This window comes from Homo sapiens, chromosome 2, assembly GCF_000001405.40.
Source record: "Homo sapiens chromosome 2, GRCh38.p14 Primary Assembly".
NCBI classification, from domain to species: Eukaryota; Metazoa; Chordata; class Mammalia; order Primates; family Hominidae; genus Homo; species Homo sapiens.
The window spans coordinates 162,499,614-162,519,935 of NC_000002.12; the positions used below are offsets into that span (position 1 = coordinate 162,499,614).

Here is a 20,322-nt window from a genome sequence, read left to right on the forward strand (position 1 = left end):
AGAATTGAAGTCTTGCCTAACAAAAGATTTCAGAAGGAAGGCATTTGCTTTGGAGATTTTTGACTGCAGACTTACTCTTGCTTAATCCCACGCAATACCCTCAGTGGTTCATTTGAATCATTTAAGATGCTACTATGTGTCATATAATCATACCAGGCACTGGTCATACAAACACCTCATGCTGCATTCATTCTTTGGTACCTAGAGATTCCCACATGTGTTTCACTCCAGATTTTTATTCCTTATTTTGGAAACTTCTCACCTTCAAAACGCACTTAAGGGTTTATATTCCCCAAACACTATCCCAAACTCCCAATGTAGCTAAGGTTTCCTCTCTCAGCACCATCTGCACACACAGTGTTTACCCATAGAAAAATACTTTACATTGCACTGTAAAGTCAATGTACTGTACTTCTCTACTTCCTTCGAGACTCAAAGGCAGAGATTTGCCTTTTAATTCTGAATTCCCAGCACCTAGCACTGTGTGTGTTTATACATTATATATGGATATATATTATACATTATATATAATATACATATTGATATACATTTATATGTTATATACAATACATATATTATATACATTACATGTTATATACAATATAATATATAATATGTATGTTACATATACACATACTATGTATGTATGTATTATATTCAGCACATATAATATATAACATGTATATTATATATACACACATAATATGTATATTATATATACACATAACATGTAATATATAGTATATAGTATATAATGTATATATTATATATAATACATGTCAATACATGCTTTTGAATGAATAAACAAATACATGAATGACCAACGAATGAATGAATGAATGACCACATAGTCCCTGTGTTGAAGAAGATGACTCTAACTGAGGAGGTAAATAACTAATTGCCTAATTCTAATTTAACGTGTAATAGAGATAAGATCCAAGTGGTGAGACAGAACAACAGGAGCAGCGATTATTCTTTTCATCAATGCCTTTTTCTCTTGATGACTACTCTATTGTTTGTGCACTGTAGAGTGTTTAAAATTTATTGTTGAATAATCTATAAGCAAAATCTTGACTTCTTTTGAAGAAAGAAATATCATACAAATCTATTACGTGAATAAAATAAGAAAGAACATTGGATTAAGGAAATACTGCTGGCTGCCTACAGCAAACATGTTGAAAATTTCCTGACAAAGAGAATCTCCATGCAGGCCTAAAGAAAATAAAAAGACAAGTAAAGTCTTTTGGTTATTACTAAGTTGTTTTTGGTGACCAGAGGACAACTAATGTTAAAAGTAGTGAATATGGAAATTTCAAAGATAGCTGCAATTAGGAAACTTCACAAATACAAAATGAAGTATGTAATCCTATAAATGAGTTATTGAAGAGCTCTGCTTTCAAGTGCTTAAATAAAATTTCCAGAGGCTATGCCTGCAGGAGGAAGTTCTTGATATTTGATCTCTACATTGTTTGGTTTGACATGTGGACAATTGGAAGGTTTGTCACTAAGAGCTAAAAGGGGCCCCTACAAAGAAGATAAAGCATTCCTACTGATGCCTTTTTTCCCAGTTTCTGGTCTCAGCCTTTATTCAGTCCCTTATTATTTCTAGCAAGGACCATAGCAACTTAAGTGTTTCACCTGACTCCAGAATTTCCTCCCATTCATTGTATTTTTTACACTGTAAAAAAAGAGAGAACTTTTATAAAATATGATCAAATTCTGATCTTCCAGCAGTTTGAAAAAGGCTTTTGCCTGTATCATACCTCTCCAGTTGGGGTACTTTGGAGAGTGGGAGGGGGATACTCCACAATTTGTGGGAAGCATAAGAAGCTTTAGGAAAACTCTGGGGTCTTTCTGTGGGCCTCAGATTCACTCAGTGGTAAGTAGTCATCTTAGTCCATTTGGGCTGCTAAAATAAAATACTCATCAACTGGGTAGCTTACAAACAAGAGAAATGTATTGTCCACAGTTATGGCGGCTGTGAAGTCCAAGATCAAGTTGCCAGCCTATTTAATGCCTGATGAGGGCTTGCTTCCTTGTTCATAAATAAGCTCCATCTTTTCATTGTAACCTCACAGTGCAGAAGGGGGCCAAAGAGCTCTCTGGGGCCTCTTTTACAAGGACACTAATCCCATTTATGAGATCTCCACACTCATGACCTATTCTGAAAGGTCCCACCTCCAAATGCCATCATGCTGGTGATTATGTTTCAACACATAAATTTTGGTGGGTACACAAACATTAGGTCTATAATAATATTTTAAAAGATTTTTAAATGTTAAAACAAATATTTCTATATTACAAAGCTAAATTTGAAAGTCACAGGGCTTTTAAAGATAAAGTGTGAGACCAAAAAAAATGCAAAGCTTTTGATGGAAACTGTTGCATTTTACTCAAACCCCCATGGCACTTATGTGAAAAGGTAGAAAAGTGTTATTTTGAAGGTAAATTTTCCAGACTAGCCTCTCGCCAGCTCAGAAAACCACTTGTTCTAAAAAGTCATATGGACTTTACTGCTTTCATAACTTTGTTCTTGTGTTTTTTTCTACCTGGAATTCTTATCCCTTCCCTTGGCTAACTCTTCCATCCATTTATGCACTCATTTATTCAGCAAACATTTGATGAACTCCATTCTGCCAGGTGTTCTACTAAGGCCCTCGTGATGTAGGGATAAAGAGATCCTGCAGAGATAATGAAGAGAGTTGGGGGATCATAGAAGAATATTAATAAACATAATAATGACATGACATTGCTTGTTATGGTACGTAGTACTAGGATGGACACTTTCCACATTTCTATTTAATTCTTATATCAACTCTGAGAAGTAAGGTTTCCCAGTCCTGAAATTTGCCTTAATGTCACACAATAAATGCCACTTGCATTCATGGCCTACAATAAATGCCTGAAATAAAACACAATCCCGTTTGACTCTGATTTATGCTCTTAAAATTTACTGACTACGCAGTTTGATGTGACCTTCTAGATCTGGCTTAAATGTTTAATCCTGTCTTTTTCTTCCCTGCAAATTCTTCCCTTATAGTAGAATAACTTTCTCCCTAATATTCTTTATTACCATGCATTTCATTATTGATATTTATATATATGCTTCCTGTCCCACTATCTGAGAAAGCCCCCAGAGCAGGTGCTTCTCAGATCTCTGTGTGTATCATGTTCTCCTGGCACAGTGGATCTGCTGAACACGGCAGCATAGGGTGGCCTCTGTGGTGGACCAAGCACATGAAAGACTTGCTGAGATCCCACATGGCTGCACACAGGCCTTAAGATGTGTTTTGTTCAGCCTAAAAAAGAGTTCAAGGCATTTTTTCATTTGTCAACTTTAAGAAATAAAGAGGTTATCTTAAATTCTGCATTTCCAGCTTCTCTTTTAAAATGGAAAGATTTGCAAGCATTCATTAATTGGTCAAGCATTTCTGCCTAACCGCAGTTAGACAGAGCTGCATATCAGCTGTCTGCTTTAGATGGGGCCTGCACTCCACAGTTCGCCACAGTCCCCATTGCCATGCTGTGCTTCTCTTTAAATTTTATTCCCTTATGCACTTGCAGGGCCCTGATCCTAATATTTCCAACTTTTCTTCTGTCTCCTCTTAAGTCTCTTGATTCCTATATATTCATATAATGGTAGGAATCTATAAATAATAATACTTTTAAAGTAAAAACAATTGAAAGGAAAACACAAAGCTATCAAAATGATGTCAATAAAATGTGCGTAACAGTAAACTGTTCATTTACCCATTTTACTAAATATAAGTTAAGAAAAGTGAAATGCCAAGAAAAGAAAGCCTCTTCACTACATAAATATTAAAATATATAGAAAAAATGCTCTCAAGAATGGCGTGTATAATTTCTCATCTCAAATAAATATAGACTGCACAGGTTTATTTATAACTTGCTCATGGTCTTTTCATAGCTATTTCAGCTCACACATAAGAGGTTATCTGGAAACAGTACTATAGTGTGGTTTGTAGTGATTACAATTACAGAAAAACTTCATTAATTCAAAAACTTCAATGCTTGGGATAAAGAATGGGGGCAAGCTTGGCTTTATATTATAGAGAGTTTATGCAAAGATTTGCTAAGCAAATATACCGAGTAAATTGTTTGTAAAAGAACCGCTTGCTTGACAAATTTTAAAGTCATGAATTCCCAACAATGTAAGTGCACTGTAAGCAAAAGCTACGTACTGCTTAGGTTGGTATATTGATATAATAAGTAGAAATCATTTTTATCTACTCTCTGAAGCAGTATACCTGCTAGCTTTTCATCCTAGTTCAAGTTGCAGTATTTATTTGAAAACAATTAGATATTGTTCCAATAAAATGTGGTGTTCCACTGACTTTTCATCATCTCAGACAGCTCTTTTCCCCAAGTTAACTGACTTAGATCTGACTCTATTTAGTAGAGTAAGTCCAAAAGGATACCACAGTTCAGAGCAAATGCTAATTAGTCCCCTAAAGCTTCAATAGACACATCCATTATATTAAAAAACCATGTTTTAATAATGTGAGAGTTGGCAGCCAAACACTAAGTGTCCAAACACGACGAATAGCAGGTTAACCACCTCTACGAAAGTGGGAGCAACCATGCCATGTTAGCCCATTTTTGCTTAGTCTTGTAATATATAAAATCATAGTATACAGCTTTATTAATCTGTTATATTAGAGAGTTACCCAACATCTCAAGATAAATAGGAGTACAAAGAAAAAATGTCTTACCTCTACCGACAGTCATTTATAAGAAAAAGAATATGTTTCATGGTGCAGAAACAAACCTCTAAAACAGTTGAAATTGATAAGAAAATTGTGTCCTACCTGGGTCACTTTCTCAGTCACATTGTGTGTTCGATCTTTAACCTTGGGTGCAATAATGGTTTTATCTGAAGAAGGAGGTGATGAATTCTTTTTCTCAGTTTTGACCTCTGAAAAATTCAGAGTGAGCTGTGGAATCTTGTTAATGGTGCTGTATTTGTTGAGGTTTGAATCTGATGTGGATCCCAGGAGGCTTGACTTGATATGATTAAAAGGCCCTAAAAAAATGGAAAGTATTTGTAAGAGTAATATAAGAAGATATAGAAGAAAGAGACAGTTCTGAATGCCCTGCTAATGATTCCTGACCAATATGATCCTGATTTGAGTGTGACTGAATGCAGCCAGCTTATACCTGGACACAGGGCTTAGGGTCACCTTGGGCCACATGGAATGGCATGTGAGTATCTGAGAATAAGACTGGGTTCTAAGTGTGTACCCAGAGAGCAAATGGCAGATTTAGCTGTTAATTAGTTTCTTTCATTAAAAGCTAGAATAAAAGAAAAAACTACACTCTCTGTTACTGGTCAAATTCTACCTTTAAAGTTTCTTATAAATTTCATTTTGTAATTTGAGGATTATTTAAGAAGGACTTACCTATGGTTAAAGTCATATTGGCCATGAAATTTCCAAATGGATTGTTTACCCTGCTCCAATTTGTGTTACTCCCCTGTCTGTGTCACTGAGGAGTGACAAGCCATCTAGGCTCTTCATATGTTTCCACTACCTATATGAGATGCTCCACAGAGCTTCTGAAAGAGTTAAACCCAGATGAAGGAATTACAGATAAAGCTGCAGAGGGTGAAAGGCCATTTTTGTGTGAATGTGTGTACTCTATTGAAAACTCTTGGATCATATGTGGGATTTTTAGATCCTTTTTTTTCTTTCACTTATGTTTAAGTCTTGACCACTTTCTGAGAAAAAAAAAAGGCGCTATTAAAAACCGCAAAAGACTAATGCTCTGGCAAACATAACTTACAATACAAGTGACCACAGCTAGGTAATAGGGCATGCCTGGGGTTGATAGTACCTAGTCGCTTCTCAAAATCTTTCCTACAAAGATAACTTGGCAAGGTGGCAAGACTCCTGGTTTCTTTGTTGAGGGAGTAGACTGACCAGCTGTATCTTCCTTTGGGATGAATCTGTTGTCTGTTGCTTATGGAGAATCAGGAAATTCTCTGAGAAGTATCTCGTGTAATGAGCAATATTACGTACACTGTTATTTAGCTCTTAAAAATTAACAACAGGGAGAATTTTATAAAAATCGTGAGCTCCCTATTTTTGTGCCCCAGGAAGTGGTTAAAACATACAAATTCCATCAATAAACTTGTTAGGCAGCATAGTTGCCTTTGTTATTTTTTTCCCTGTTCAAAATGACGTGAACCCATTTTCGGGATCAAAATGTACTTTAAGCATCAAGCAAGGTATAAACACTTAAAAATTAGACTTTAAGATTTTGCATTTTGGACAATAATCAATCAACTTGGGTCAGATATAATACTAAGAAATCAATGCTCATCATTTTGTTCATAGTCACTATGGGGGAAAATCACACTATACTTGTTCATAAAAGTTTACACTTGTTTATTATAAAAGTTTGAAGTAATCTTAATAAATTTTCATGTATTTAACAAATACTGTGTTTCTTGAGTTGCATTTCTGTTGACTCCCTGAGTCTTATCCATGACGATGACCAAGTCCATCTAGAAGAAAAATGTCACGAGCTCTCCAGGAATTTATTGCCTCATATGTTCTCATTTGCATATAGAACCTAACTCTCTTTACTATTTATACAAAGATAGAAATAAGAGCCAATAGTGGCAACAAACTCATCTAGCCTTCAGATAGTTCTCTGACAGAAACTCCGTTCTTCAGGTCTTTTTGGAAGTCTCCAGCCCACATCACTAATTTATTTTATTGTAATGCATACCAGGATAGTGTTTCCCTTTCTGCAGCATTCTATAGTTGAGTTCTAGGTTTTATATCTTAATATTTACAGTTTGTAAATTATGCTAGGATTTCAGATTTCTTAGATATTGTCTTTTCCCCAACTCTAATGTCCTATTTTCAATCCTTAGGTTATTTAACTAACAGGGATACTATTAAGAGATTATAGATAACAGAGATCAAATATATAGTTAAATTGTATTCAAAGCCCTTAAGCTCATCTTTCCACTCTCTTTTTTTATCATCCTTCTCTATGCTGCATTTCTGTAGCAAATTGTCCACAGAGTTATTTAAAATTTGGCTAAATTCACGGATCATCGATGTCATCACCGATTCTACAATGTTAATAGACAGAAAGACACTGTTAATCTACTTTAATTGCCCTTGTGACCAGTGCCAATAAACTCCTCTGAATTGGCTACACTTATATAAGCATGTGATTTCAACTATGGTAGTATTTCATTCTAGGGGAGATTTGTGGGGGCATTTTTTGTTGTCACAATTATGAAAGAATTTCAATGTCACAATTCGCCTGCCTTAAAGAATTGCCTTACATGCCTCGAGGCCATTCATGCAGGTGAAAAGCCTGTTTATTCATGAACTGAGCTTTAAAACTAACTGTTTCACATATAAACACCACAATGTGCTTTTTACATGATTTTAATATAAATTGAAATTTCCAGAGCTACAATTTCCATGTAGAGGTAAGAATATATATTGTTTTATTCAGAACTTTATCAGAAATTGTTCATCATTTTGGAAGATTATGTCACTTAGAGCTACACTCCTCATGGCATTTGAGTAGCCAATAGAATATTTCAGAGTTTAGTTTACAATCTGTGTTTGGAGCTGTTATTTGCAAATATGTAAGCTAAGAGATTTGAGTCTTCTTTACCAGTGTTGGAACCAAATATTATTAAATTTTCAAAGAATTACCAAAATCACACTAATAAAAGTTCCTTCAAAAATATTTTATATAAATATCTTCCTATGTATGTAAAATGATATCATACTATGAAAAGGAACCTATCTCTTAAAAATGAAACACTTGTAATTATTATTTGTCTTTGGGTTGGCTGTTGGTTTTCAGTCTCATTCTCAAAACTCCCTGGAGATCTGCCACAACTTCTCTATAATGTCTCAATTGCCATTTCATTTTCCATTCCATCTTCAATTTCTCATTACATAACAAAGCATGTTTGCAGGATCTTTTCTAATGTATTAGAGGATGAATACATGTCCTGACATCTAGTGGGATTTCTTTCTTCTGTGCAATTCACTACTATTGCATTATATCACAGAAGGTATCATTTTGACACTACTATTAAAAGCAAGAACTAGCTCATTTATAAGAATACCATACTTCCTTATTTTCTCTTCAGTTTATATTGGTATATTAATCATAATTAAATTTTAGTTACTTCCCATTTTTAAAATTCATGTATAAATAAGTCTGATATAATTCTTGACTTCAATGGTAGTTTTGATTATGCTGCCCACTTATACTCCTGCTGTACCATTTTATCTGGTACCTGTATGGAATACTTTCTCATGTACTTAACGCTTTTAAAACCAAGTTTTCTTCATATGTCTGATTATTGTGTTATGTTTTCTAGTGAAGTTATATTTGAACACTAACATATTGAAATAAATATTTTATTGTAAACTGTTTTTCTTTTATTTCTCCTGTATATTACAGTTAGGGAATCATGTTGATATTTTAGAAATAGGTTAAATTATCTCTGAGTTCCATTTCAGGATAGGAAAATGAGTATAACAAAATATGAGACAAGGAGACATTGGATCTGATATGATTGAGAAACTGGTTGATAAAATGTCATACTCAAATTTGGCCTCAGAATTTGCAACTTCATTGCATTCACTATTTTAGCTTCTCTTATTTGCAGGTAGAAAAACCTTCTAAACTCTTATTCTATTCTGGGTTTTTTTTTTTGGCTCTTAGTCTTAAATAGTTAATCCACATTTTCTTTTAATCTATATTTTAATTAATTCAGCAAAACTTAAAATATTACTTAAAATAACTTGTGCAAGCTACTTAGATAAGGCATTTAAAATTTATTTCATGCTGTATAAAAAAGATAATTATGCTTCTTTCTACGGATTTTAAAGCAGATGTTTAAATGCAGAAGACTTCTAGAGTCTTCAAGATGATCAGTGTTGGCTTAGATTCCTCTAAGCCCATCTAAATGCAAATGAAAAAAATTTCAACATTTTAACTAAGGTAGGTATTAACAATATCCTTATTTCACCGATTGTAAACCTAAGTGGACAGAATATGAGGCCAGAAAAGAATAAGAATAAAGGACCAGAATGCAGGGTTTCCTACCTCCTAAGTCTATATTCAGAGAGGCCTTGGTTGAGGATTTAAAGGTGAAAGGCAGCCTCACTGAGAGTGATCATGAACAGATGGGATTTAGGATTCTAATGAAAGAAAGGAGAATAACCTGAAAAACAAAGTAAATAAATTTAAAGGAAATGAATGGGCAGAAATAGAGGGAAATAAGAGATTCAGTAGAAAGTCATGTAAAACGCAGAAGCATAGAGGTGGACTTGATGTTCTTCAGAGAAGCATTTGCAAGATGGATGACCAGGTTACATTTTTCAATATATTAGGAGAAGGTGGAAAACAGGTAACCAAGTAGACTAAACCAACAGCTGGAGAGTGCTTTAATATATTTCAAGGGTCTGATTAAACATAAAGTAGGCCAATTTCCAACTACAAAGAAATACCTACATTTAGACATGAAGCTAGAGGCTAAAGCAACAACTGGGAAGAATTTTAAAGATATTTAAAATTTATACGATGAGGCTATTTAAATTTATCATGAGTTATGAGATGCTAAAGGAGAATATGTTTTTCTTTTAGATGGTGCTGGAAATATAGCTAAGGGCATCTGATAGATTAAAAAAATAATGCTACTTTAAAAAATCATTTTGGAGGGCCAAATGTGATAGGAAAGAAGGAAACCAAACAGACAAAGGTTGTTTTTAAATCATCAGGTATTTGTACAATATATCTTAGGGCACTGAGTTTATTTAGCTAAAGTTTAATAAAACCCAAATTCCTCAAGTGACTTAACATGAAAGAAGATGCAAATGCAGTGTTTAATAATTAAACTTTGTAAAAGAACACTATCAATAAGTATAAGGCAACCAGTTTAGCACTTAGAAAAATGCATAAGAAGTAATCATCAAATTATTTTTCTTCATATTATCTGTTTCAGTGCATGACATATTATTTGCAGGAGTAAACTGTTATCATTGAAAATCAATTTGCAAATCCTTATCAGATGACAAGATACTGGGTAATGGCCAAGGCAGCCTATGAGAAACAAGTTGTATTAGATTCATTTATTTCATTTATGAGTCATATAGGCTAGAGAGGAGATAAAAGCTGTAACAAACCTTGAAAGTAGTTTTACTTCAGAGTCATATGACAGATTCATAGACTAATTGGAAATGGAACACACCAATGTCAGAGGGAAGCAGGGTTACTTGAGATAGCAAGGAGGTGGGAGCATTAAAGGGGCAAAATTGTATTATGACTTATTTACGAAGTAGAGAAAGTGAGGTAGATTTTTACTGATGACTTGTAAAGCAAAATAGAAAAGCCACCAAGTTGGAGGTAAAAATTAATATATGAGTGATGGAGGTAGGATTAGGTACCCCTCTCACATATTAGAGAAGTTGTTAAAAAATTATAATACATACATATGTATATGCAGGATGTGCAATTTATTTGAAATAACTTTTCCACTCTTTCACAATGGTTTACATTTTTAACAAAGAACTTTGAAATGTTAGCTTAAGGAATCATAATGCTAAGAAAATTTATTAAAGGGAAACGAAATAGATCCTAAGAAAGAAGATTAAGTGGAAATTAGTTTTAGAAAAAAGAGTACCAATTTGCTGTCTTTTTACTGTGATATTGCATCATGATTAGCAGTAGTCAGCTAGTATCTCTGTCCAGTAGAGACAGATGAAGGGGAAAAGAATACATATCAGAAAGAAGGATTTAGGTTAGCTCTTTGTGTAACAGGCACTAACACGGACTTCCCGAGAAAGTTAAAGAATGGCATCCTCTGGAGATAAATGTACCACCTGTGCAAGGTATTTAGCCAATACCTCACCTGACATGAATAAATCAGATGATATTGAAGACATTACCAACACATTCCTACGTTATTTATTTAATTCAGAATTAAATAATTAGAATTAAATTCAACCAAAAAATGTTTTTTGGTTGAATATTGAAATAATTAATTATAATTATGCATTTTGTACACAAAGCAGTGTAGAAACCTGCATTTTTTAGTTTTTTATTTAGATCTGGTATAGAAGCAAAGTCAAAAGAATTTAAAATGCACACTTGGGGGTTCCTGTACCTAATTAGCAATGTTAATGGCTTTGTGAAAAATCTTAGAGGCAGACACTTAAACATTGTTAATAGTTTTCAAAACCAGAGCTTGAAAAACGTAATGAAGACTTTGGATTGAAAATTTACATTAAATTTAATTAAGTTTGCAAATGTTTTCTCCAATTTGGGGATATAACTTCTTAAGTATTAATATGTGAAAACTTTGTGCAATGGTTTAGAGATTTGTAATGCCAAATTCTGACTTTGATGATTCTACCATATACTTTAAATTGTGATCGTAAAATTGATGAGCAATCTGAAATCTATGTAATAAATAAAGAATATCCGTGTTCAAAGACTACTCCTATTAAAAATGAGAGAGTTGAGAAAAAAAGGTTGGAGAGTAAATGAATTGTTTTATGACACTAAAATAAAATAGCTGTACTTTGACATATATGTGAACTAGTAGTTTGAAAGTTAAACAAGTCCAATTTTCTATTTGTTGAGAAAAATTAGGTTCATTTATCACTACATTTAAAAATCACTAGAAAATTAATTAATGCCTACTAATTTACTGCTAATTGTTAAATCCTAAAGCTAGTTGGCAAGAACTATCTGTATCCTGCTTCTTGAGGTTACATTCTGAATTATGTCAATGCAAACCACCACACACAGTTGACACTAATTTGCTCCCTTTTAGAAATCACAGTGGACAGGTCAAAAAAAAAAAAAAAAAAAAAGAACAATGATGTAGGTGAAATCCCATCCCACTATTGGGGTCAACCTGCATAGACCCTTTTAAAGTGCCTACAAAATAAAATTGGGGTGGGTTTGGGGGGATACTGCCATAATTTCCCTGATTTTCAAATTTCCCTAGGTTGCTGACCAAACATTTTTGCTCCCTAGCGCTATTAATTCATAACCATCACCAGCTCTGAATTATTTTAGGGAAGCAATTGAGAAATCAATATACAAAATTGCACAGTGGTCAGTGTACCAGTGACATACAGGAGAGAGTGGTCAAAACAGTGAATTCTAAGTAATGACGGTTACTGGTGGAGACGTGTTCATGCAACACACATGCACAAAATAAGTCACAATCACCATTTGCACACCCACAGCAGCATGCATGGCCTATGTTGAAAGACCAAATCCCAATGGTTTTCAATTTGATGATAATAATATGGTTATCATATTTTGTGATCCTTGTATCTACTATGATATAGTAGAAAACAGAATTGAATTCCAAATTTTCAGCCCAATCCAAATTTATCCAGAGTATTCCCAGTTAAATATAACCCTATGGTAGTTGTAGGTCATGCCAGTGATTTCAGATTAATAGAGAACAAAATTAAAATGATTAAAATATAATAGAGAAAAATAGAAAACAACTGTCATGCATATATAGTTTACTACTACAGTAAGCTGAAAACCATACCCCCTGCCATCCAGGAACGTGAAACTAGTTTTGAGGAAACAAAAGAGGAACAAGTGAAGTGATGCTGTCATGTAGCACTTTGCTTATTTTATTTAATCTTGCACTCAAATTTTTTGTTTTCCTGAAATAGGCTTTTGTGCCTCTGTCACATCAGAATATATTTAGCTTGATATTTGTGTTTTTCCAAGTGATTTAAATATTTAGGAAGTATTCATTGTCAACCTAGGCTTATAATTCTTGCAGGCAAAAGGAGCTCATGATCATTTTGGTAACACAGCAGAGAAATAACAATGTCTGTAGCAAAATCAAGCCATGATGTCTCCACCAGGCACCCCAAATAGCTAAGGGCAGCATGAAGATGTTGCACTGAACAGGGCATACAGCAGGCAAGTTAACATGCCGAGTAAAGGGGCAGGTTGAACATCAGATGGTGAAATTTGAGTTTGTACATTACCTTTGACATTGCGACCATTGTCTGTTTTGAGCACATAAGGATAAAAAAAGAGAAATATAAAAAGAAGACTAAAATTATATTATATACACTGAATTACCTGTATAAAAACAATCAGAGAAATCAGAATATGATGGAAAATTTCTCTTTAATTGAAATTAACATTTTGTACTATTCCACCAAGTAACATGCATATACTAAAAATAGTATCTGTCATAATATACATTCTTATTTAAATATGTGAAGCATTTATCTCAATTTAAATGGATTCCAAAGTACAGATTTTATAATTATGACAGTTTGGAAATAGACTTCCCCAGCTGCTGCAGTTGTGACAAAACTTTCAACCTTGTCAACAGCCAATTTTAGTGTCTCCTCAACTATCACTTAGAATATACTCAAAGGAAGACTCCACATTTTGCATGTTAAGTGTTTTTTTGCATATAATTTAACCTAGTATGTTAATAAGGAAAATGTTTCTAAGATAACAGTTCCTTCCTTCCTCCCTCCCTCCCTCCCTTCTTTCCCTCCCTCCCTCCCTCCCTCCTTCCCTTCCTCCCTTCCCTCCTTCCCTCCTGCCTTCCTCCCTTTCTCCCTTCCCTCTTTCCCTCCTTCCTTCCCTCCTTCCCTCCTTCCCTCCTTCCTTCCCTCCTTCCCTCCTTCCTTCTTTCCTTCCTTCTTTCCTTCCTTCCCTCCTTCCCTCCTTCTTTCCTTCCTTCCTTCCTTCCTTCCTTCTCTCCTTCCCTCCTTCCTTCTTTCCTTCCTTCCCTCCTTCTTTCCTTCCTTCCTTCCTTCCTTCCTTCTCTCCTTCCCTCCCTCCTTCCTTCCTTCCTTCCTTCCTTCCTTCCTTCCTTCTTTCCTTCCTTCCTTCCTTTCTTCCTTTCAGGACAAGGTCTGGCTATATCTCTCTGGATGGACTTGAACTTCTAGGCTCAAGAATCCTCGTGCCTGAGCCTCCTTAGTAGCTGGGACTACAACCACACCAGTCTGCCTGGCTCCACTCTGCCTAGCTCCAACTTACATTATTAATCACAATTTTATTAACTGCCCTCCTCCAAATGTACTTCAATATATATTTTAAAAATAGCAAATATAACTCAAAGAGTCATTCTTAGGCAAAAATAATTGCAAGAAGTAAATGAAAGATTAGATTGTTTTAAAAAATGTAAACATTTTTGTTAATGTTGTCACAATGAATTCAGTGTAATTACTAGAATATTGAAAAATTTTATTTGTAATAAAATGGGCTCTTTTAAAATCTAAGTTAAATATTTTCAGATTTACTTTGAGATCAGCTATCTAAATGTTGCATACTTGCCACTAACAAAATATGCATTACTAGCTATGAAACACACTTGCTTAAAATAAACGTCACTGTCATATCAAAACCATTCAAATATATCCAAGATTTGAAAAATCTGTTCAGCATTTTGTTGATATCTATGCTAACACTGTGCCCATTTAAAATCTTGGGATATATCATAATAATTTCAAAGCTTACAACTGAAATAATTCTAATAATGTGATATATTGAATTGCTCGTAGACATTGCATTGGACAAAGATATACAAATAAAACTGTGGCCTTAGATGACAACTCCCTTTCCTCTTTGAGAGAATTACAAGAAACAAATAGAGATAGTGGAAGAGATCTTGATTACTCAGAATGAATGTGTCTGTCAGAAGCTGGGTCCAAAAACCATTAGTAAAGTAACAACTGCTTGCAAGTAGTTATAAATTATAACTGTACTTATCAAACCTAAAAATTATATGTAAAGATTTACCAATTCCAAGAAAACTAACAAAACATTACATTATATAGTTATTACAGCTTTGACCTTCCAAGGCAGAGTGTGGCTTGTGCACTGGTCTTAGCTGAGATCTGCTTGTTATTCTTCCATGACAATGCAAGTACAGAAATTGGAGTAAATATTTAGAATCTTTTGTAGCAGTTTGGCAGAGTAATTTCATGTCTGATTAATCTAATAATAAAACAATTGGGGTTTATATTTTATGTCTATTTTTTACATTTTATTTTTCCAGTAGTACATTTTTATTGGCTTCACAAATGTATTGGTCAGTGATGAATTAGAAAACAAAATTCTGGTTCTTCATCAAAGATGGTTTGAAAAGTATGGTTCTAAGGTTCTTGATAATGTGGATTAAATGAGAGGATAAGGTAAAATATTATTCATTAATATATCTGCAAAATATTTAAAGTTCTGTGAAGATAGCCTGTACAGGAGAACATTTTTATTTATTTCAATGAGGAGACAACAACCCAACTTCGAAATCTTGTGCATGATTTCACCTGTTAATCAGTTACATGAATTCATAAAACTAAAATCACTTCTAAAAGTTTTCCATCTTTCCTTATCAATGGCTCTATTTCTAAAATATACCAAATTATAAAGTCTTAGGGAATGTAGTTTCTTTTTTGCTAATCAGTGATTTTGTAGCTAAAATTTCTTTAAAGATGAAGTAGAAAATACCCTCTGAATTTATCAATCTATAGTCACATGTTGACTCTAGCATAATCTGTAAGAAAGTAATTTTTTTTTATAACAGCTTACTTTGGGTGAGGGGGAAAAATCGAGGATGATCTTAGCACCAAATGTTTATGTATAGCACCCGTACTGAGAAATCCAAAAATATTAAATCATTCTTTCTCATAATTGTATCAGTAACTGTGCACTAAATGGATATCATATAAATTAAAAACAATGAAGTTAAATCAAGAAATCTAATCTAAACTACTCAGCACCACTGTCCAAACACAGGCTAAGTCAGTAAAATGCACTGATTATGTATCAGTTTGATTTTCAAATTTGTTGTTTTTGAATTTTACTATACTACTGTTATAAGTCAGGATCTCTCTAGGGAATCTCTGAAAAGGCAATTTCTGAAAAGTCAGTATGATTGCTAAAAGTGACTACACTAACTAAACTCACTAAAACATATGCTGGTCATTTGAATTACCATATTGAATTTATTGTTGCTGTTTAGCCACAGGACTCACTGATCAAAGATCAAATTCTAGCGGTTTCATTCTGTCAGGAAATATTGAGCCTGCCATTACTAAATGGGATATGGCCTTAGATGATTATCCAATTTGGGAATTGGCCTTGTATTTTCTTTTTTCCTTTTGACCTTCTTTGGCCCACAGATTAAAATAGATGTGCTAATTGCTCTTGTATCTTTTTCTGAGCTATTGATTTATCTTTCTTTGAACTTCTTCCTGCCAACTCTTCCTTTCACCTCTTCTGCCTTCTCTACTTCATGGTGTCCTTTAGATAAAGATCCTCTATATGATTTACTCCTAAGACTTCGTTTAACTTCAGAGTATGATGGAGCAGATAACTCATTATTTTCTGATCTGCATGATTTTGAAACAGAACTCGCAAGCACAGTCCCCTCAACATCACATGGTCTTCTCAATGTTACACCAATATTTATCGCGTATCTGCCATGAAGTAGACAATTGTGCTAGAAACTAAGGGTGCAGAGCTCACTATGCCAGAGTGCCTATGCTGGAGGCGCTCACAGCAACATAATTGCTTGCTTACATATCTGACAAGAATGACAGACATATAATACACAATAAATATAAAATGCAATCCATGCTACACTATATGTAAATATTGGTTTGCACACTCGAGTGTGAAATGATTTAATTCTTCTGGTTTGGGAAGGGGGAAATGGGTCCCTGCTGCTGAGTGGTAGTGTAAGGAGAGACAAAGCAGGGAAGAGTATTCCAGGAATAACAAAGTAATGAAGCAAGAAAACACGTGTTACATTTTTGGGAAAAGGCAAATTATATCTGTGCAGATGTAGAATAGAGTATGTAATAGGGAGGGGAGTCTTGCTGGGGCTAGAAATGAGGCTAGAAAAATAAGTGTGATCAGCTGACAAAGTGCCTAACACCTCACATTAAGAATTAATGTTTTAAAGACAAAACTAGCAGTAGCCTGGACAGCAGGTCTCTCAAGAACCAAATCTATGGGAATCTGGAAAGCGGGTCTGATGTACCCATGCCAGGAACTTTGATTCTTGGACTCCCTGGGGAAAGTCAAGAGTTTCAACAGACTCCTCCTATGGCAAGGTTTCATGGAGGAGCAGGAGTGAGGGAGGAAAAAGATTGCATGGATTTGATTGTAGACTATGGAGACAGGCAGTCCTGAGTTTGAAGCCGGGCTCTGACACTGACTAGCTCTGTAACCTTAGTCTAGTTATTTATGTTATTTATTTAACATAGTTAAGCCTCTGTTTCCTCACTTACTAAATAGGGCTTAGAAATGATTCCTAATTTGGGTTTCTTATGAGAGTAAAATGAGACAATGTGTATCAAGCACTTACATTGCCTCAGACACAGTAAGTACTTAACCGATGTTATCAATTACCATGTTCATGATAAATAGTTTCTGCCACTGCTTTTTTTAAGGATCCTTAATTTCACTACTGGCTAATGTAAGAATGTGAACATAATGTTCAAAGAGGCCAGGGAGAATAAATTCTGATTTGCTTTTCAAGTCGATTTTTGTTGAGATCAGGACTTTCAGGATTTTTTTCCCTTTAAATTTTTCCCCTTCATCCTACCTACCTTGCACCCCTGTCAGCTTACAGCTTTCTGATCACTCAGTACATCACAGTTCCTATGCTGCTCCCTTTGGAAAGAGTCGGTCAATGAACTAGCCCTCTGATGGCACAAATTCTTTCTTCCCAGGGCATGATCATTTGCTAAATGCAGCAAAATTAACTATGCTTGAGATGATAGTGTTCATTACCTAAGCACATGTTATAATAAGCATTAATTAATTAACACTCCATGTGGTAGGCAGATAATGGTTATCATACTATTTCAGAAATACAGATAAAGAAGCCAGAAGACACTAAATTACTCACAAGGGTTCAAAGAGGAAATCAGTAACAACTCTGAGTGTAGGACTCAGGTTTTTAATAGCCTTTAATCACATTTCTTTCCCCAATGCACAGAGATTATTGTTGAAATTTCAAACAATATGCAAATAATCATTTATTACCCATTAATATATGTTTCCATTTAAAAAAAAATCAAACATACCTTCGCTGGCATGTCGGTCTCTAAATATGTTCTTGGGGTGGACGCCGAATCCTTCTATATCATGGACCGAAGATGCTCTCCGTATACTACATAAGCTTTCCCTTGATCTGGAATGGGACAGCTGGGAACTTGACTGCAGCATGTCAGGGTAGAGTCGGTCCCATTGCCTTTTGGGAGAGGAATGGTCAAGAGGTCCGGATATATTCACCAAGGGAGAACATTTGCTGGGCTGTATCAAAGCTTTTGTGTCATCTGCTTCAGAGGGGCTGCAGCTTTCTTTTGTAGGAGACTTAAAATGCTTCATGGCTACTGAATCATCACTGTGTTTAGATGAATCGATGACCACCACATCGGGGTCTTCTTGTGGTAAGGACTGCTTTCTGTAAGTGAGAACTCTCAGACCAGGGAATTTGAACCCAAAAAATTTCCCTATAAATGGAGACAGGAGAGAGCATTATTATAAGGCAAATGATATATCCTGTAACAAAAACAAACATTGTTGACTCATATTTAAACACCATGTAAAAATAATTTTGAATCAATGGTTATAGTTGGAATAGAGGATATTGTAGAAAACTTCTCTGAGACCAATGTGAAGTATGATATAAATAGCAAGAAAACAGTACATAATTTTATCATATTTCTGATGATTAGATCCACATCAGTGACATAAAAGTATTTTGATGACATGAGACTTTTAGTTTTAATAAAATAAAAACATTCATCCACTATACATCCACTTTTCTAGGGAAATTGAAGGATGAACAGAGTTTTAAGAATATATGATCTAAGGCATCATAAGTCCAGGGATAGACACAGGAGTGAGTATAGCCTACATACATGTATGGGTGATGGGGAGCTAATGTGTTGGAACAGGCAGGAAGGAAGTGAGGTGAGGTAAAGAATAGACCTTGCATATTTAGAATATTTGTATTGAATAATATTGTGAGTCGAGTTTGGGTGGGAAAAGTGGGGTCAACTGTGTATGAGAGGTTTATCATTCCATCTGGAATTCTTAAAGACTTTTGGTTTTAAAGAGCGATGTACTGTACTGGTAAAGATTTCTTTTTCCTGTTTTCTGTTTTTTTTTTTTTTTGCTCCAAAATTGGATAGTATGGCATATAATGTTATGTATATCTCAGAGTGGCTGATGCACAGAAGGACAAGTAAATACAAACTTTAAAGAGCAGATGTTAAAAATTAAAATATTAACTAATAAATATAACATTAAAATATTAAACTTTAATTGTTAGGTATATAAACTCACTAGTAGTAAAAACTGCAAAGTAATACAAGAGGATATAATTTTTCTAGTCTTCAATTTTGCAGTAAATGAAAGAAAGCATAACATCTAGTGCTGGCAAAGAATGCTGGGGAGCATTCTGACATTTTGGCGGTGGGATTGCAGATTGCTGCAAACTCTTTGGAAAGTCTTTGGACAATATCTATTAAAGTGAAAAAACATATACATTTATTTTGACTCAGTAATCCACATATGGGATATTGCAAAGGCATAAAAACTAGAAAAAATTGGATTATCCATTAGAAGGAGAATTACTGAATAAATTATGGCATTTTTATTATTTGGAATCCTATGATATTCTTTAAAAGGTTGCTCAAATATAACGTTAAGTAAAAAAAGCAAGTTTAAACTCCATGTGTTCACATAATTTTCATCAAAAAAACAAAAGCTTATATTTGTTCATATATGTTGCATAAAAGCTTCAAACTTTTAATGTTGACTAGCTCAGTGGGTGGGTTTGGAAGAAGGGAGATATAATGTATGCATTCTTCTTTATGTATCTTTTTTTATGTCAAGCATGAATTTGTTTATAAACTAAAAAAACTAATACAGTAAAACTTCCACTCCTCAAAGAACATAAAAACATAGGAGAAAGTATCCAAACAATAATCTGTAACCCAAAGCTTCTCTAAGTATGATTTACAAGAAAATGCAAAGATTGTCATTTTTATTGTTCCCACAGTAGTCTAGGTCCACATTATCCATGGCTTTACAATTACACACTGACCTTATGGTCAGTCAACTTAAATCTTTGGGCTGCAATATTAACTACCTTCTTATATTATTTAAATGTCATAGACACCATTATCTTTAATATATTTATTATGAACTTTTCCTCAATGCACTGAAGATGCTTCTAAAACATGGAAGAACACTCTCAAAACTCATGAACATTTCTCCATT

General features: G+C 34.3%; 1 protein-coding gene across 7 annotated transcripts in view; it reads right to left on the reverse strand.

Annotated features, from left to right (window-relative positions):
* Positions 1-20,322, reverse strand: part of KCNH7 (potassium voltage-gated channel subfamily H member 7) — a 467,361-nt gene that overhangs the window by 128,207 nt on the left and 318,832 nt on the right. For 3 of the 7 annotated variants that reach the window (XM_017005218.3, XM_011512109.4, XM_017005221.3), the window contains exons 4-7: positions 18,117-18,545; positions 13,041-13,061; positions 12,587-12,610; positions 4,830-5,044 (exon numbers count right to left, since the gene is read on the reverse strand). In XM_017005218.3, the coding sequence (XP_016860707.1) occupies positions 4,830-5,044; positions 12,587-12,610; positions 13,041-13,061; positions 18,117-18,545 (689 nt within the window). The remainder of the gene's footprint in view (positions 1-4,829; positions 5,045-12,586; positions 12,611-13,040; positions 13,062-18,116; positions 18,546-20,322) is intronic. The other 4 variants (XM_017005219.3, NM_033272.4, XM_017005220.3 and 1 more) reach the window with 2 other exon arrangements.